The sequence below is a fragment of the Homo sapiens genome, chromosome 3, assembly GCF_000001405.40.
Source record: "Homo sapiens chromosome 3, GRCh38.p14 Primary Assembly".
Taxonomy (NCBI): Eukaryota; Metazoa; Chordata; class Mammalia; order Primates; family Hominidae; genus Homo; species Homo sapiens.
Window position 1 is genome coordinate 177511746 of NC_000003.12, and position 19466 is coordinate 177531211.

The 19466-nt window shown below is 42.3% G+C and overlaps 1 long non-coding RNA gene across 1 annotated transcript in view, besides 1 other annotated feature; it reads left to right on the forward strand.

Moving 5' to 3' along the window:
• Positions 1-19466, forward strand: part of LINC00578 (long intergenic non-protein coding RNA 578) — a 310784-nt gene that overhangs the window by 69825 nt on the left and 221493 nt on the right. The window lies entirely within an intron of this gene.
• Positions 4800-5564: an enhancer, noted in NCBI's record as "H3K4me1 hESC enhancer chr3:177234333-177235097 (GRCh37/hg19 assembly coordinates)". NCBI's record gives its function as "activates a minimal SCP1, AML or CMV promoter by ChIP-STARR-seq in naive H9 embryonic stem cells {active_cell/tissue: H9 hESC(naive)}" and the evidence as "EXISTENCE:reporter gene assay evidence [ECO:0000049][PMID:30033119]".

Sequence of the window (19466 nt, forward strand, 5' to 3'; positions counted from 1 at the left end):
ATCTATGAATATGATGCCAGGAAAATTTCTAATCACCACAAAAACCAATATTTTTCCCCTTTATATTTATAAAATGGTCATCTTTAACATGCTGATAGAAATATGTCAAAAGCTCTGAGGTTAGAGGGGCGTGCTTTGCCCGGGTGCTGTCACTTGGTGACCCTGTACGCCTCTGCTCGCCAGGCTGTTGAATTTTTCCTATCATTCACCTTGGCCTTCAGAGTTAGTTGTGCCCTCCTCTATGCTCCTGAAGCACTTACTACTCTGAATAGCCACAGTCTATTTTTTATCTGTGTCTCTCCTATTGGATTATGAGCTTCTTGAGATCAGAGACTTTTTTCTTATTTATCTTTGTATAAATTATAAATGTTTGGTAGTGTCTAGTGTGCTTAAGACATTGTTGGTTTAAATAAATAAATAGATTACAGCTTTAATACTATTGTTTCAGGGTAATCCTTTAATACAGTTTATAATTTTATTTACAAAGCAATAGAATTATCATAGAAATTTTAGAAAATAGAGCTGAAGAAAATAAAATCACCTATTACATCACTGTTAGGATGACCGCTGCAAACATCTTGATATATATCCTACCAAGCTTTTTTCTAGTATGTGACTATAGATTTAAAAACAGGAGAAAGAAAAATGGTATTATATGACACACACTCTCTTATAAGCTGCTTTAAAAAATGCCATTATACTGTGAATGTTTTTCCATATCACATATTCTTCTATGACAGTGCTTTTAATGATTCTAAAATGTACCACAATTTATGTGATCATTCTTCTATTGTTGGACATTTATGTGGTTTCCAATATTTTGCACCTACAAAAACTGCCACAATGAACATCTTTGTGTGCATCCCTGATGACTTCCTCAGAATAAATTCCTCGTAGTGGAATAGCAGGCAGAAGGGCATATGCATTTTTAAGGTATTTGGATTACATTACAAAGTTGTAATAATTTATATTCTCTACAATGACATATGACAATTTCCATTTATCTGAATGCTTGCCATGAATAGGTGTTATAATATACATGTCAAAAATTGTCAATCTAACAGTCTAAAAACCACATAAAAATCAACGTGATAAAATGGTCTATCACCAAAGTCTCGCATGAAGGCCTAATATTGTTGGAAAATGGTTGTGTGTGTGGGGGAAAGGGTTAGCTTAAAATCTGTTGAAGGTATAGCTACTGGCAATGAGGAAATAGGATGGATGGGGCTGGAGTTGTGAGGTATAGGGAGCAAAGAGAAAGACAGAGGACACCCCTGGGAAGTTCAGAACCTGAGTGGCGGTGACTATGGTGATGCCATTTCAGAGCCCAAGGAAAAACTGTCCAGTCAGAACAGAGAACAATTCAGGTCAGGACTCAGGGACTAGAGAAGAGGCAGGACATGCCAAGCATTGAGAAGTCAAGGAAAGACTAAGAATGTATGAAAGAGAAAGTAAGTCTGGGAGAGAAGGTTTTAGAAACCCACACGAGTTGAAAGTGAACGTTGGATCAAAGTTCCTGAACGGGTGGAATGTTGACATTGTTTGGGAGACCATGAAAGGAGAGATGACCTTTTCATCAGAATCAGTCAAAGCTGGTTTAGAGTTTTGGCTTTGCCACACAATGTGACCTTGAGTAAGGCACAGAGGTTGTGTGGTCTCAAGTTTCTCCCTCATTAAAAAAAAAGGGGGGGAGGAATTTAACAGTTTGGTTAAAAGGGTCTCTAAGTAAGGCTTCTTCCAGCCCAGAAATTCTCTGCTTCTATTTTAAATGAAAACAAACCGGACTTTGGGATTTGTTTCTTGGACTGTGGGAAGGGGGCAGTCTCTATTGTGCAACCATGGATTTAGCCTATATTTAGATTCATGCTTTGGGATTATTACTTCTGACAACAAGTCATCCTGCAGAAGTCCACTAATAATTTGAAATAAGGACTCTGTGTTTCAAAATTCTGAACTGTGATACTGCTTCAGTTTATTTGAATGAACAGTGGTGATATAATCAGCTGCAAATATTTCTTTTCTATCCAGGACATCTGCCATGTTTGACTCGTAACAGCAATCCATAAATGTGGAAGGCTGCGCCATCAAGCATTCTTATTTCTCTGTAGGTCTTGTCATTAATGAGAACTTTGGTTGAGTTGAAAGGGACTGGAAATCTGAGGAAAGCATGGGACTAAAACCCCAACAAATGTAAGCAATAGCTGCTTAATTTGAAGTGACACTTTTCTGTGTTTGACATTTTTGGCACTGCAAGCTGGGATGTTTGCCACTGGAAAGTCAAAATGCCTGCAAAAACAAATGCCCAGTTTTCAGATATCTGGTCTGTATCATTTATTTTTAATACTAAATGTGACATAGTGTAATGTTCTATCGATTAAATTAAACTGCACGAGTGAGGGAGATAGAATTTCAATCGAATTCTTAGATGAAAAATGAGCTGCCTGTCGTAGAATTTTCCTGGCAATCGTCTAACATCCTGATAGATATTGGCTGGCTCCACTGAAACAGCTGCAACCTTGCAGCCATCAAGCTATGCCTAAACAAGGGGCACCCCCATTCAGGAGAAAAAATGTCTTGGGCCTTTAAAGAAGAGGGAAAGGATTTCTTGGTTAGTCGGGAGCTTTACAGATTGATTTTCCCCCTCCATGATTGACATCTTCTTCTTGGAGACTTTGTGTGTTTTTTTGGTGAAGTCATTATGAGATGCTACACAGCTGCGATGTATGTTTAGAAGAGGCACTCTGCATTCAGTCCTACCGCCCTTCCCAATTGCCTATGAAACAAGAAAGTCTATTCATGTTGCTATCTGCTGTTTAAAGAACATTCATGTGTCTCAGGCTGGTGTAGTCCAAATATGATGCGGTAGGAAGGTGTTAGCAAAATTCAAGATCCTAAGGAGACATTTCTGGTGGGATAACAACAGTCTGACGAGGAGCTACATTTCCTGTCTTAGCATGATTTATATTGTTCCTTGCCCCCACGATGCGGAACAAGAATAACATTTTTACAAGAGACCTATATTTCTGCACAAAGAAGGGTGAGGGTGGGTGGCGTGAGAATCTCCTTGGTGATGCTTTGTCTGGAAATTCCTCCTTCTTATTTGGCAACTTAGAGAAACTGGGAGGCAGGGATGTTGAGAGAAATATGACAGGGTAAGACCATTTGGGGCCCAGCAGATGTGCTCAATTGAAGTAGGACATTGCAACCCATGAGGTCAGTGACCTTGTAGCTATGCAGCCAGGGCATAGTTCCCTAGAGAATGACAAAGGCTTGAGATCTGTCCTTTAAGGATGGATGGTCAAAGGTGAAATGCAGCCTGGAGAATCCAGACTGGGAGTGCCACAGGAAGGGAGCACTATGGGTCAGCAAGGCCTGGGAGACAATGTGCTTGCCTGGAACCGGAGCTCAGCACAGGTAGATGCAGTGTATAAAGTGCGAGAGACAATCAGAGGAGGTGTGAGTTTCCCTCGGAGGATAGCAAGGAGGGGCTCTTTCAGCAGTATAAAGCAATGTATGAACTGTACAGGCAAAGAGACAAAGACAGATGGAATATACAAAAATATAACCCGTAAATAGCAACAGTGGTGGCAGGAACAACTAGAACAGTCAGCTCCATGCATTGGAAACTGAGCTTAAATAAATTCGGAAGGAATAAACTATTAGAAACATGGACTCCAGAGAAAAGATGGTGCAAAAAAACCCAAAAAACCAAAACCAAAACAAAAAAACCCCCCACAGAATAGATTATGTCTTAGCTTTATAATAGAATACTATGAAGTCATTGTAAAGAATACATAGATTTATTTGCTTTCCTATGAATGTCAGATATATACTAAGTGAAAACATTATGTCCCAGACAGTGTACTCTGATCAATTTGTGGGAAAAAACTGTATATATACATAGGTATGTGCATGAATATGTTTGTGTTTATATGCATTTATGTCTGTAATATTTTTCTATGCATATTTACATGTATGTGATATATGGCACATTTTTAGAAGTTTTTGTAAATCTTCTAGTAGTTTTAGGAAACAATTCAGAGAGGGTCAAGTTGAGATGGGGGAAAGATTAGAAGAGAATATGAAAACAGAAACTTTAACTTTATCTCCTTGTACACCGTTGGCATTTTTTTCTTTTTACACTAAGTGTATATTACTTTAGTAATGATAACAATGATGATGACGATGGCAATGGGCAACAATAAATCACAAAGCAGAACTAGTGTGTATGTGGCAACTTTGTTTCTGTTCTCATTAAAGGAAGCTAGAATAATTTAACAATTGCTTAGTGAGTGACCAGTAATTCACCTAGCTGTGTGTTACTCATTGAAATGTGCTATAGAGGGGACAAAATTAAAATCTGAGGATACTTAGGTATGCTATACCGTGTTTTCATCCCTCAGTGAATCCTTTCATGTCCAAAGTTCTGAGTGTACCCTCTCAGTCAGCACAACCAGAAATTCTTTGGCTGAGCTGACACTGGCTAACCTTGCTGCCGCGATGCACGTGTCCAGGTCGGGCCTGTTGATTCCGGCTGGGGTGTCTCTAGTCACAGAGGTTCCGGCCACACAGCTGGTGCCAGAACAAGGGTCTGGCTCTTCTGTTAATCAGCCTTACTGAAATGAGCTGCAAACACAACCGAATGCTTGAGCTGACCTATGATCCTTCTGATTCAGGAATGTCTCATTTAATGCATCAACGGGCTTGAGTCTCCCCTTCCAGTGTGGGAGAACATGAACTACTTACATATCTTCTTAGGCCGGAAGGAGGGAGGCATTTCTCAAAAGCTATTCCTGAATGTCTTCCTCTTGTGATTTTAAGGGAGGAGGAGGCTTGTGGGGGTGGGGGATGGATAACATTCTTCAGTTTCTGGCTGGGATGCCAGCCCAAAAATCTTTTATTTTTTTTTTCTGCACCATATGGATACAGGAAAAATATAAAGGATGTGTTCTTTGCCCTTGAGGAATTTATAATCTGGTTGGGGGGCAGCCAAACTGCTGCTGGGTAGCCTCAGATCGGGTGCAGCATGAGCTGGTGAGAGGCCGTGTGTGCTGTCCCAGCAGGCCCCAGCTGTTCCCTTTTCTCGGGGTCTCGGCCTGAGCTCCGCCTGGGGCTGCAGGTCAGTGGGCTGCAGGCAGGCACTGTCTCATTTCTTTTGTTTCATAGCATTGGTTTTGGCCACAGTCAGGAATTTTTCAAACTAAAAGCTTCTGGTGAACAGTCTCTGGTTCAAGTTCACAAGCCACATCATTAATCATGAATAAATGGTTGTAGAACACCCTTTCTCTTGCCAGGGAAAATACAGAGAGTTATAAACACACAAACAAATAAACACACAGCGCCCCCAACTAGAAAATTGATACCTTCTGTGGCCAGGGCATTTTCAGAATTGGAAGACTTTAGACACCACCAGGTTAAGCCCTGTCATTTCAGTTTAGGGACAGAGAAGTAAAGGCCCATGTTCCATCGATGAGAGATAATCTATTAAATAGCCCATATTTTCTGACTCCTCAACCAGTATTTTTTCCCATGGTAGAATTTGAGAATGCCTGTTAATGTGGACTGAGTTCATGTCATTCCACTGTATGTAAAATGAGAGGAGATGAATTTCTAAGTGATAGCTTCGTTTTTACTTTTTGATTAGGTGACTACCTAAAGGCAACATGAGCAGTAAGAAAATAAAAGTTTTTTTTTTTGTTTCGAGACAGAGTCTTGCTCTGTCTCCAGGCTGGACTGCAGTGGCACGATCTCCACTCCCTGCAACCTCCGCCTCCCGGGTTCAAGTGATTCCCCTGCCTCCTGAGTAGCTGGGACTATAGGTGCGCGCCACCACACCTGGCTAATTTTTTGTATTTTAGTAGAGACAGGGTTTCACCATGTTGACCAGGATGGTCTTGATCTCCTGACCTTGTGATCTGCCCGACTTGGCCTCCCGAAGTGCTGGGATTACAGGAGTGAGCCACCATGCCCAGCCAAAAAATTTTTTTTTGAGAAGGAGTCTTACTCACTGTCACCTAGGTTGAAGTGCAGTGGAGACATTTCAGCTCACTGCAACCTCCACCTCCTGGGTTCAAGCGATTCTCCTGCCTCAGCTTCCCAAGTGGCTGGGATTACAGACACGCCACCACGCCCGGCTAATTTTTGTATTAGAAAATGAAAAGTTAATTTATCTAATTGGGTTTTTGTCTCTGTCAGGTATGAGAACAGAGTAAAGATGGGCTGGGATGGGGAGAGAGAAGGGCCTGGGTCTGCAGATTAGATGGCCCATCAGAGCAAGTTAGGGGCTGAGGTGGGTTTATAGCAGAAGCAAGAGAGATAACATCTAAGTGAAGGTGGGAAAGAGCAGGGGCTGATGTCTGGCAGCGGCAGCAGGGAGCGGGGATCTGTCAAGAAGAGAACCAGCAAGACTCCAGTCCAAAAGGACTTGTGACCAAGGCAGGGATTCAGCCATGGGAAATGAAGAACATCCCCAGATACTGAAATGGGCTGCTGAGCCAAGGACTGAGTTATGAGAAGTAAGGCAAAATTTTAGAACTAGGCACAGAGTTCTACCTGGATCAACAACAGGGCTCACTAGTGGAGTTGAGCCTGTGGAGTCTAGAGTCTGTCAGGTTGGGATTCCTTAATTTCTTCCAAACCATGAATGGGTTCTGGTGTAAGGCTTAAGTCAGCAGGAGGGAACAGGGAGTCGGGCTGGTAACTGTAGGAGGTAGATGGGAGCAGAGCCTAGAATTTGGAAATGGATGAATTAAAAGCAGCTGGACAGTTCAACACAGAAGGGATTGGAGGTATGTGAAGGAGAATGGGCCCAAGGTCAGCTCAGAAAGGCTTGGCTTTCCTGGTTCTCAAAAATTTTAAAGAAAAGCTGTTAATTAGAATGGTTGTTCATCAATGTATAAAAAAATAGAAAGGCAGAGTCTAGAGGCAAATGTTGGCAGTGCCTGTACAAACACTAACCGGAATAAAGGATGTGAATGTTATCAATAAACTTGGAGTTTCTGGGTCTCACTGCTTGTATTAGTCTGTTTTCACACTCCTATAAAGAACTACCTGAGACTGGGTAATTTATGAAGAAAAGAGGTTTAATTGACTCACAGTTCTGCAGGCTATACAGGAAGCATAGCTAGGAGGTCTCAGGAAACATAATCATGGTGGAAGTTGAAGGGAAAGCAGGTATGTCTTACCATGGTGGAGGAGGAGTGAGAAAGCGAGAGAGAGAATGTGCCACATACGTTTAAATCATCAGATCTTGTGAGAACTCACTATCATAAGAACAGCAAGGGGGAAATCACCCCCATGATCCAATCACCTCCCACCAGGCCCCTTTCCTGACACATGGGGATTACAATTCGATATGAGATGTGGTGGAGACAGAGTCAAACCATATCACTGCTGGACTAGGACTTTGGTGAAGAAGCTATGAATTATGTGGATTGTCTTATAGAAGCTCCTCTTGCCTCCCTCTGGTTCCACACCCTCTAGACAACCTTCTGAGTGAGATTTGACTCCTTATATAGGCAGGACACACCAATAAGTATGCTCTGGTGCAAAGGAAGTTTAGTTTCATTGTAATACATTGAGTTTCTGATTTAGACATTGGTCTCTGTGAGCTTGGTTAAAGTGTGATTGTCATTAAAAGATGAATCTGTTCTTGATGTGTTGTCAAAATCTGCTTTTGTAAAGCTGATGGTGATACGGGAATGCTGGGAAGGGAAGAGCATGGTCCCTTTAAATGATATGGAAGAGGGGAAGGGAAGTGTTGGGTAGAGGAGGGTGTGGTCCCTGGCTAGGGCTCTATCCCCCCCATGGACCTAGGTGAGGACAAGCATTTCTGCTGTGGCGGCCAAATGTTGCAGTTTCCAAGACCACCCTGGCCTGCCATGCCCCCATGCTGGGCCTATAAAAACCGGAGACCCTAGCAAGGCAGAGACAGAAGCTGCTGGACGGCGGGAGGAACACATTGGCCGAAGAACACAAGCGGCTGGACATTGAGAGGATGCCAAGGGAAGCACGCCTGCGGCAGAGCGGAAGAGCACGCCTGCGGCAGAGCACGCCTGCGGCAGAGACACTGACAGATGCAGCAGGCTAGCAGACGGAAGGAGGTGGAGTTTGGCCAGGGCAGTGGGTGGAGAGCCTGGGTCACCCAGCAACTTGACTCTGGGGGAAAACCACCTCCCTACTGGCTCCCCCATCTGCTGAGAGCTATTTCCACCCAATAAAACCTTGAACTCATTCTCCAGGCCCAGTTGTGATCTGATTCTTCCAGTACACCAAGGCAAGAACCCGGGATACAGAAAGCCCTCTGTCCTTGTGACAAGGTAGAGGGTCTAATTGAGCTGGTTAACACAAGCCACCTATAGACGGCAAACTAAAAGAGCGAAACTAAAGAGCACCTGGTAACACATGCCCACTGGGGCTTCAGGAGCTGTAAACATTCACCCCTAGACACTGCTGTGGGGTCGGAGCCCTACAGCCTGCCGGTCTGTATGCCCCCCTAGAAGTTTGAACAGCGGAGCACTGAAGAAGTGAGTCACACCCCCATTGCACACCCTGCAAGAGGGACAAGGGAACTTTTCCTGTTTCAATGGGGATTGGCAAAGGCATCTCAAAAAAGGGCAGCTTCCAAACAGAGACTCAAAGGACTTTGTAGGAGTTGGAGAGAGTGTAGTAGAGTGAGGGGGAAAGATGAGAATACAAGAATTTCTTTCTTTCTTTTTCTTTTTTTTTTTTTGAGACGGAGTCTTGCTCTGTCGCCCAGGCTGGAGTGCAGTGGCGTAACCTTGGCTCACTGCAAGCTCCACGTTCCGGGTTCACGCCATTCTCCTGCCTCAGCCTCTGGAGTAGCTGGGACTACAGATGCCCGCCACCGCACCCAACTAATTTTTCTATACTTTTTTTAGTAGAGACGGGGTTTCACCCTGTTAGCCAGGATGGTCTTGATCTCCTGACCTCATGATCCACCCGCCTCAGCCTCCCAAAGTGCTGGGATTACAGGCGTGAGCCACCGCAGCCTGGCCAACAAGAATACAAGAATTTCAATAAGTGGTCTGACTTGGGAGGTATAAAGGTGAAGACAGCAAACATTAAAAAGTCCTTGCGGTGGGGCGTGGTGGCTCATGCCTGTAATCCCAGCACTTTGGGAGGCCGAGGTGGGCGGATCACGAGGTCAGGAGATTCAGACCATCCTGGCTAACACCGTGAAACCCCATCTCTCCTAAAAATACAAAAAATTAGCCGGGTGCGGTGGCGGGCGCCAGTAGTCTCAGCTACTCCAGAGGCTGAGGCAGGAGAATGGTGTGAACCTGGGAGGCGGAGCTTGCAGTGAGCTGAGATTGCGCCACTGCACCCCAGCCTAGGCGACAGAGCGAGACTCCGTCTCAAAAAAAAAAAAAGTCCTTGCAAAAACTTGTCTCAGAAAGGGAAAAAAAGTGAGATACAAAGGTAGTTAGAGCAGCGGTCGCCAACCTTTTTGACACCAGGGACTGGCTTTGTAGGAGACAATTTTTCCATGGACGGGGGAGGGATGGTTTTGGGAAGTAACTGTTCCATCTCACATCATCAAGCATTAGATTCTCATAAGGAGTGTGCAACCTAGATCTCTAGCATGCGCAATTCACAATAAGGTGCGTGCTCCTATGAGAATCTAATGCTGCCGCCTATCTGACAGCAGGTGGAGCTCAGACAGTAGAGCTCGCTCAACCGCCGCTCACCTTGTGCTGTGCAGCCGGTTCCTTACAGGCAGGGGGATGGGACCCCTGAGTTGCAGAACCGGTTTCCCTTGAGGTTCTTGACATAATGGACACTCATCTTCACTCCAAAAAGTTTGCTTTTTCTCCCTCTGTGTTGGTGGGTAGTTGGTGAGGAGTGTCATCTGGTAGCTTACCTGGTGATGGAGGGGAGAGCTCTGTTTTCACAGGCTATTCTCAAAATCTTAAAAGCCCAGAGATTTGGCCTTGCCTCCCACTTTCTAACACTTCTCTTCATCACTTCAGAATGGATCAGCACTTAGGAGATCTGAAAGTTAATCTGCTTAGCAATCTGGTTGCTAGGTATTAATATATAGAAAATAAATGTTTTTTCCCTTCTCCTTGAATCAGGAAAAAGCCTGATTGAAAGAAGGATCTAGGAGGGATTTAGAAGAAGTCCTTCTCCTTTCCATGACTCTGAGGTTTGTGAAGTCTATCTGAGTGGTTTGTTGCCACTACATGCTCTTTGCTAAAAGGGGTAATTGAGTGAAGGAAACGTGAAGGAACCACAGGTAAAGAAAATTAGGATAGTGCTCCAAAGTGATCTCAGCTCCATAGGATCCCTTCCAGGGTGGGTCCTGAAACTCTAGATCAGAACACGTAAATGTTTGTATTTGGCCAACCTGCTTTCAATTATTAGCATTCACAGACCGATTGTGCTGTATGATGCAGTTGAGTGATAGTGAGTGAAAGGCCAATTGGCCATGGAAAATCACCTGGTGAAGATCACAGTGAGTGCTCTCCCTGTCATGGAGCTTGCCGGTAAAGAATGCTGCACTGTTCTTTCAGAACCACATTGATAAATGTCCCCTGAAGAAATTAACATTCCCATCTCTACTGACTCATCTGATGGGAACAATCAGTTCACAAACCGATGTGTGGGCTAACCCACATGGCCCATCCACCAAACATTGCAAAGTATATCTTTTTTCCCCATATGCTAACAAGTGATGGGGAAAAGGAAGCTGTTCTCCCCACTCCACCCACCTTTCAATATCGATTGACCTGCATTCATCTCATATTCTGGGAATCAGGAATATGCTAAATATTGTAATGGTAGTCAGGTAGAGAACAGGGACAGAAGACCTAGGAAAAGGAAAGGAGTGGGGAGATATTTTATCATTCAATATATTATTATTTTGTCAGAGGCTATTATTAGACTCCTTACACTCAATGAAAAATAAACAAAATAAGCCTTTGAACCCATTTGAACAAGGACAAACATGCAGGTGGGTTATTTATTCACACATATCTGCCTGCCTGTCCCTTTCCACTAAGACTATTTTGGAACCTACTGGAGATGATTTCTGTATGTCATAAGCAAGTCATCAGGCAAAAATAGTGAGTCTTTACCAAGTTGTACCATTAACTAGGAATGATAAGAGTGTGTTTATACATAGCATTTAGTTTATGAAAATACAGATCTCCTGTTTGCGGCTCCCATTAACTTGTCCAACAAAACAAATCCATCGATTGGCTTTAGCTGTAGGTGGCTTGTTTTCCAACTGCCTCTTTTCTCCTGACTTAAGAGACAGATGTAATTTAAAATGGGGATTAGAAATAACTGTCCTGAAATCCATGTAATTCTGGTTTTGCTGCTGGTAAAGGTTATTGTATAATTAGCTGATTCATAACAAACTGTAAGTATCATATCAGAAAATAGAACCCTTTGGAAACTAATGACAGATGATCTACAAATAGATAGCCTAGCAATGTAAACATTAGTGGGGGGAATTCATTAAGTTCCTGCTAAAAGCATTTGATTTAATTTTGCCTATCTTTTATCAGATTTTTTCACGTATAAGCCAAAATGACAAATGATAATTATCTTGAAGGCATGTGGCATGATAAATTGGAAGACACGTGATGTGTTTTCTCATTTTTCACAGTCTCAGATTTTCTTTTTTTGGTCTGGTTTGTTGTGTTACAAAAAGCTCATGATTTTTCACCCATAGTTCACCTCCTGGGAAATACCATAATTAAGGTCTCAAGAATGAAATAGGCTGGTACAGTCATCGAATGACAATGAGCCATCCATGGTGTTGGGACATCAATGTAATAACATAAAAACTATTGGTTTTGAAAATTTTCCTCTATATAATTGCTGTTTCCACTTCTATAAAACTGAGGTTAATTTAAGATAGATTTATTTCTAGTCAGTCCCACTAATGTTCCAGGACTTTTCATATTCTGTATCATTTGATATGTATTGTCATAAAGCTTTTATATTTTTCAAACACTTCAGCAGTTTTATGCATTGAGTTTGTTATGAAATGTCATTGTGTCACTTTATGGGATCCTATTTAAAGAAAGTCAGTAGCTAGGAAAAGAGATGAGAAACATTTATAATTTGACCCTAAACTCAAGGGCAATATAGGACTTAGTAAAAGAGAATTTATAAATTTCTCAGGTGCTCTTCATAAAAACAAAGTCAAAACAAAGCAAAACAAAAAGAAAACCCAAGGTGAAACCACATCAAACAAAAAGTTTACTTGGTAATCACCTGGTAACCAGATATTGGGTTTTATGAATAAGAAATTCCAGACGAGGTGTCGTGTTCTGGAACAACCCTTCCTATATTTCACAATCATGTAAAGCCTAGCTCAAATGTCCCTTTCTCTACCTCCCAGGAAGAATTAGGGACTCCCACACTCATATACTGTAGCATTTTGTTCATACATATGCTTCCTCTCACATGGTCAAATGGTTAGTTTTTTATCTGTTTGACTGCCAAGCAGTGGACTTTGCCCTATCCATCTTTGTTTTTTTTTAGTGTCTAAGGCCTGGCAAACGGAAGGAGCTCAGATGACACTTTTGAAAAAGCAGGCTGTTTATATGACTTCAGCTCTTAGAATATTAAGAATTGCATCATCATTGCACGGGAAGAAAAAGGTCTGATTGGATCCTTCTCTCTCAACAACTGCCTTAATGGTTTAGTGGCAGGATGGCTGGGTGTACGTGGCAGGATGGCTGGGTGTACGTGGCAGAAAATGGAGCAGAAGTTTGACATTAGTTTAGTGTCAATAATGCATATTATTGAATTTACACAATATAGATGTTTGAGGCCTTTTTTAATTGGGCCTTTCCAGGATCAAAGAGACTTGCATTAAATTTATTATTTTGTTTATATGGAGATCCTTCTGTTTCTCCAATTGTTCTGGGTATTCTTTTTTGAAGCAGTTGTAGCTGATGTCTTCCCTAAGAGGAGAGGAGTTGAACTATATCTCAAGTTGGGCCATAGGACAGCTGTATAAGCAGTTGCTTTTGCAGTATCAGATCCGAGGAATATCAAAATACTCTTGTCCTGAAATACATCGTGAAACTCATCTCCTCCCAATAACATGCTCCTCTTTAAGGATAGGAATCGAAAGGTTTTGGATATTGTTCTGGTTTTTGGAGTTGCCTCTTCCAGCACTACTGGGCACTCAGCTCTGGTTTCTGGCTGTGGCCCCTTCCTTTGGTAAGTGGCATCCCTGTTCTGAAGACACTCAACTACCCTGAGAGTGTTCCTGTGAATCTGATTCTTATCTTTAACCATGTAGGAAAGATGACAGGCCTCTCAGTTTTGCAGAAATCAGGAGATTTGCCAGCACTGAACCAATTGCGTGTGATCACCATCACCTGTTGACTTCTGGTGGGGATGTGTGGTCTCTCCCTTCCCCCATCCCTCCCTGTGTTTCAGCCTTAGTTTGCCTCACTCTTTAAGTCACCTACTAGACCTCCATAGGCATGTGAGTTAGCCGTCCATGCATTCCACCTCTGACCATAAGCCTGTTCTTGAGGACCATCATGCTTTCCATATGATGGTGGCTGCCATTCATTAAATACCATCTATACCCAGATTGCCCACACTGAAAGTGAGATAATCAACTGTTGTGCTCCTAGCCAAGATTAACAGGAAGAGTATATTCTTTTTTTGCTTTTATTTTATTTTATTTATCAAGAGATTAAGACAAAGATGAGCCTACAGTTCACAACCGTATGTGAAGATGATGCAGTTGCCTTACTCTGTAGAGTGAAGCCAAAACCACAGACAGAAATAAGCATAGTAGGCTATGAGAAGATGAAATTTAGCACTGTGTTTGGGATGGGCATCTGAGGAAGTTGTGTTCAGAGCACCCTGGATCTTCTTTTGGTGGCTTTAGGTCTCCCCATCCTGTTGCCCTATTTCTGAGCCAGGAGCTAAACTTGAACTGATGCCTAGCTGCTCCTCTTTCACCCCCTTCCCCAACCAAGAATGAAAATAAGAAGGATTAGTGGTGGTACATAGCCTGGTTTTTCTTTTTCTTTTCACAGCTCCATTTCAATCCTAAAAGGTACACTCTCTATCTGTGTGACACACAAATCACTTTGCTTTCTTTTAGAAATGGCCTATTATAAGAAAAAATTATAGGTCCGTATTCTACCTTTTTAAAAGTTATAATAATTACTCTTGGTATTTAAAGAGAATAGTTACATAACATAATTTTAAGTGAATATAATGGTTGAAAAGATGCTTTAGTGTGGAAAATAGACAAAATGATTTAACATTTTGAAAAATCACATTCTGACCTCATTCTAATACATGCCATCAGTAAATTAAATTTGAGATGCATTCCATTCGTGACTGACTTGCTTACAAAGGACACAAGAGCCTTGAAAGAGATTCTGTTTGTTAGCTTATTTCTTTGCAGTTGAACTGGCAGAGTAAACACAGGGAGGAGACGGTTGAGGTGTGGTTAGATCAAGCCCTTTTCAGTGCCCCGTTCTCCTATGGAGCACTTATAAATGACATGAGGAAGGTAGTATTTAGACTGATCATTAGAGGAAAGATCAGCATGTTGTTAGGAAAGTTTACTTCTAAGGAACCTTGTAATTTGGCCAAAGAAAAGGTTACTGGACTTCAGGCATCTCCGCGATGAGGAAGTGGTCTCTGTGGTCAGCAGCCTGGGCACAGTTTTGATGGGGTTGGTGAGTGTTGTCTGGTTTCCAGATAGTCTGGACAGAAGAGGACAAACGTAGGAGAAAAGAGGATGGAGACAGTATTTCTGTTTTGCTGGCTGTTCCTGCTAAGGGAAAATTGGTTATCTGTTGAGGATCCCACGTGTCATATTTGTGGGCGCTGATGGCAGGAAAGAAGAATGGATGGCATCAGGAGTGGGGAGCCTCAGGCTGGGAAAACATGCCAGACAGTCTCAGCTGCGTCTTTTGGCAAACCATGGTGTTGCCATAAAATTATTATTCCGTAAAGCCTTGAGATTACTCAGCTGTGTCAATATATTTTTCATTGTTACTTTTACAATTTGTAAAATTAAAAATTGCTTTTTTCTTGTTATAAAAGCCATTTTTTATTATTTGAATTATAAATATTAGAAAGTACAGGTAAGGAATGAGAAGATTAAAAACACTCCTAATCCTACTTATAAGAGTTAAGCACTACCCAACACTTTGAAACAATCTTCATTTAACAAAACACGTGGACATAATTTCTGTCAATAAATGCTCATGTAAGTTACATCTGAGAGAGAGAGACCATTAACGCTCCGGAAGAGGAAAGTTTGGAAGGAACTTACCCAGCCTTCTTCCTCTACCCCAGGGTGGAGTGGGCTTATTGAAAGGTGTAAGCTCAGGAAAATGGAACTGGAGACATGTGGTCCACAGTCTTCCCGATTCTCTCTATTCTGGGAAGAATAGGGCAGAAGGGAGGCTCTTATTTTTTGGTCCCCTCCAGCCCCATTACTTGGTCACAGTGCTGCTGTCGCTAATGTCTCAATATGAAATATGTTGCTGGGATTCTTTTGCTGCAACTTGGAATTTTTAGAGTAGGTACTTAAGCAGACATGAGCAGGGCAGGAGAAGCCCCCGCTTGGCCCCAGGAATGTCAGGCGACCATCAGGTGATGGCCAGGCTGTTGTTAAACTGTCTCTCTAAAACAGTAATTGGTTGCAGCTGGTGCCAGGGACAGGCCGGCTCCCAATAGATAGAAAACAGCTGAAGCTGGTGATCAGCAGCTTCCCAATAAGATCTCAGGAGTTGGGCAAATGGGCTCAGGCATGCACGCTAAGAGGCAAAACGGCAGAGTTTAACTGGCGTATGACCTTCCTTTAAGAACGCTTGACGGGTAAGGGAAAAGTGCCTCAAATGAGCATATACACAACTTCAGTAAACACACTGCACATGCAGCTCCTCCCAAGTGCTGGCAGGCCACTGCACATGTGGACAGCCCACTTAAAGAGAAGAATCAGGGGAGAAGAAATGCAAACTTCAGAACCAGTCAATGTGTAGAACCCAAGTCAAGGGCTAGATGAGACACTTGGATCTCTCAGTCGCCCTCTTGGCCCTCTTCCAAGTGTACTTTACTTCCTTTTGTTTCTGCTCTATAACTTTTTAATAAATGTTCACTCCTGTTCAAAAACTTGTCTAGGTCTCTCCCTCTGCCTTATGCCCCTTGGCCGAATTCTTTCCTCCAAGGAGGCAAGGATCAAGTTGCTGCAGACCTGTATGGATTTGCCACTGCTACCAGAATGAGGGATCAGATGCAGTGAAGACATTCCCAACTATGAAACTGTAGGATAAAGGGCCAGGCCTGATAATACTTCTTTTTTTTTTCCCTGCAGAATTCAGAGAATATCCTCAACACTCTTAGGTTTAGACTCTAGTGTGAGGTAGAACCTCACACTAGATCAGGTAGAACACTGATCCAGGCAAAAAGTTGGAATTGATGGCAATGACCTATGAAAAGTTACTTTGAAGCAATTTGAAAATGGAGGTCTTGCTTTTGTCTATCAGACCACAAAGCCCTTAGCACCAAAAACCCAGCCCACAGTTCAGGTGTCTGGTCTTTAACTTGGCCAAACAGGTGGATATTTGGGAACTTCCAGGCAGATGTTTGGGATAATTCAGTGGTTAATCATATAAGACCAAATGTTAGGGTGGTTATTAATTGTTTTTCCTCTCCCTTTGAGGTACTATTTACACCCAGTGGGATTTGAATCACTGTAAGATTTTTCTACTGCCTCCAGATGAGGTGGAGAAGGTGGGGTTTTAAGGACAGGGGGTTTTACCTCTGGGCATAGCTCTTTGCAATCCATACCCTTGCCCTACCTCAATAGCCACTACCTTTATCTGAGCCTTCATCTTCTTCCTGAATTACTTATTAGCCTTCTGTACTCCAGGCTCTCTACAAGCTAAGCTGCCCTTTGACTAACTTCCTGGTTAATGTAAAGATCAGAATGGATCCCTCTCTTGATAGTTTTACACTGAATCATTTTGCACTGCTTACAGAAGAATATCCAATCTCTTATGGTAACATTCAAGGGCTTCCAAAGTCTGTTCTCTACTCGTTGTTCCTGAATTAATTCATTTATTTTACATGTTTTTGAGTACCTATTATAAAGTGTTGAGCATGGCTTAGTTTTGTTTCTTACTGCTTCTCTAAGGTTCTTGTGAGTCAACTTTATGGACTTTCCTTCTGGGTTTCTGCACATCTGAGCCTCGGTATCAACCATGACTTCTTACTGGGATACTCTCTTCAAGGGACTTGGTTAAAATTCCTTATGGCTCAGTTTAAATACCACTTCCTCCATGAAGCTGGCTGTGATCCCTCTAGCCAGACTCATTTTCTTCTTCTGAGCTTCATTGGATGACAGTGTCTTCCTCTCTTGATTGACAGCCTACACTCTGCCTTGCATTATAGTCATTTCTGAATATGTATTATCTCTCTATTAACCAGTAAGCTGTTTGAGAGTGGAAAGTACCTCTCACTTACCTTTCTTTTCTTCCCTCCTAGAGGATAATAAAGCACAATGATTTAGAATTTGGGGCTATGTGGTCAGATAACTCTGAACCTGAACCTTAGCTCTACCAAATTATCAGCCACATAACCCGAGGCAAGTGACTCACCCTCCTCAGTTTCTTTATCTGTAAAATGGGACTAACAGTTGGAGTCAGAAACTTGCTTGTGAGAATTAAATAAGATAATCTATATACAGTGCTTAATACTGTGTCTAGTACAAAAGTAAGTGTTTAGTAGACTTTGCAACAGGCATGGTTAAAATACATAGCACCAACTCATTCTTGGTATACGACTGGCCATCAATATATATTTGTTAAATAACTGGATTAGCAATTGGTGTCTTAAGTAGCTCAGTAATAAGTGTCTGTTTATGGAAAAATGAATCTTTCTGTATTCATCTCTATTTATAAAATATTGTTTAGAAAGTGGGATTATCTGGAAAATCTTCAATTTCTACATTTTCACCTTCTTTAAATAGGCTGTCAAACTATATTCTTTCTCAAATGTTCCCCTTGCATTTGGATATTAATAGTAAAAGCAATGCTGAGTAGTGATTGTGAAATGTATATAAGCAGCCAACATCTCCACAGAATTTTTTAAAGATAACCTGATAGCAGTGTTTTGCCTGCATTTTCCACTGGAAGAGAACTCAGTCTCAGGAAGGACAAGGCTCTTCCAAAGCCCCAGAGAAATAACTGCTTAAGCAGAAATAGACACAGGCCTCCTGATGCAACCTAGTTTTATAATGAAGCTGAGCCCAAACCACCTTCTTCCAATTTGCTTCTTTTTTTTTTTTTTTTTGAGAAACAAGTTGGCCTTATAAAAAATATTCAACAATTTTTTACCACTGAGTGGGGAACATCTGGTTCTGTGTCCTGCGAACACAAGAGAAGGCTGATTATTACAATCAAAGTTTCTGGCATCAAGCTATTAGAGACGGCTTTGTGTTCGAACCTGAGTCTGGGACTCCGTGTCAGAGTGGGAACAGGCATAGGGAGGATCTAGAAGGGGTCGCAGAGCTGATCTCACTTGCTGCCAGCAAAAAGCAGTGTCATGTGGCCAAAGCCAGACTGCCAGAGCCCTGCCACATGTCAGCTGTGGATGCCTGGTTAGTAACTTTCCCTATCTGTGCCTCGGTTTCCTTTAATGTAAGAAAGGAATAAGAGTACTTGCCTCATAAGGGGGAAATGAGGATGAATCCACTAAGGTATATAAACTATTTAGAACTTAGGCTGTCCCCTGGGGATAACTTGATAAATATCAGCTATTAATATTAGTGGTAGAAGAGAAAAAAGAGTCAATGTAAAGGTATTTTTTAGGGCTCTTTTAATATGACATATTTGGAATAGCTTCTCAAAATATTGTGTTTATAGACTGAAACTGACACTATTCCCTACTGAAGGAAGGTAACAGTGTTACTGCTGGTGAATGGAGAATTACCGTTTGGGGATTATGTAAAGGTGAGGGGCCAAGGCACAGGGAGTGGAGGGATTGGTTGGAGTTGGCGCTTTAAGTGGGTAGAGGGCTGTGGGAGATATGTCCCCTCAGAACCTTCCTGGTGTAACAGTTTCTGGAATTCCACCTTTGGACAGCCTCCTCTTTGGGCCAATTACAGCATTTTCTCTGCAGTTCTCATTTAAAAGGAAGACATTTCGTGTTGGGGTCAGGGATAACATCGGGAGCTTAAAAGATTAGCACTAGGCCTGAATTAATTTGCTCAAGGTTCTTGAAGGTTGAAGCCTCTGAGAGAGGCATTCAGTACTGAAATAATACAAAAAAGGGAAGTGCCAAAGTCAGCCTTTACTTCTATTCCAATGTTGCCTTTTGTTTTCCCGGACTTGCAGAGCTGAGAAGGAGATGGCTAGTGCACCACAGGCCTCCTGGGCCCTGGACTTGGCCTTCCTTAGTGCTGACAGAGATTGCTTAGGGAGTGCTTCCTCAGCTCA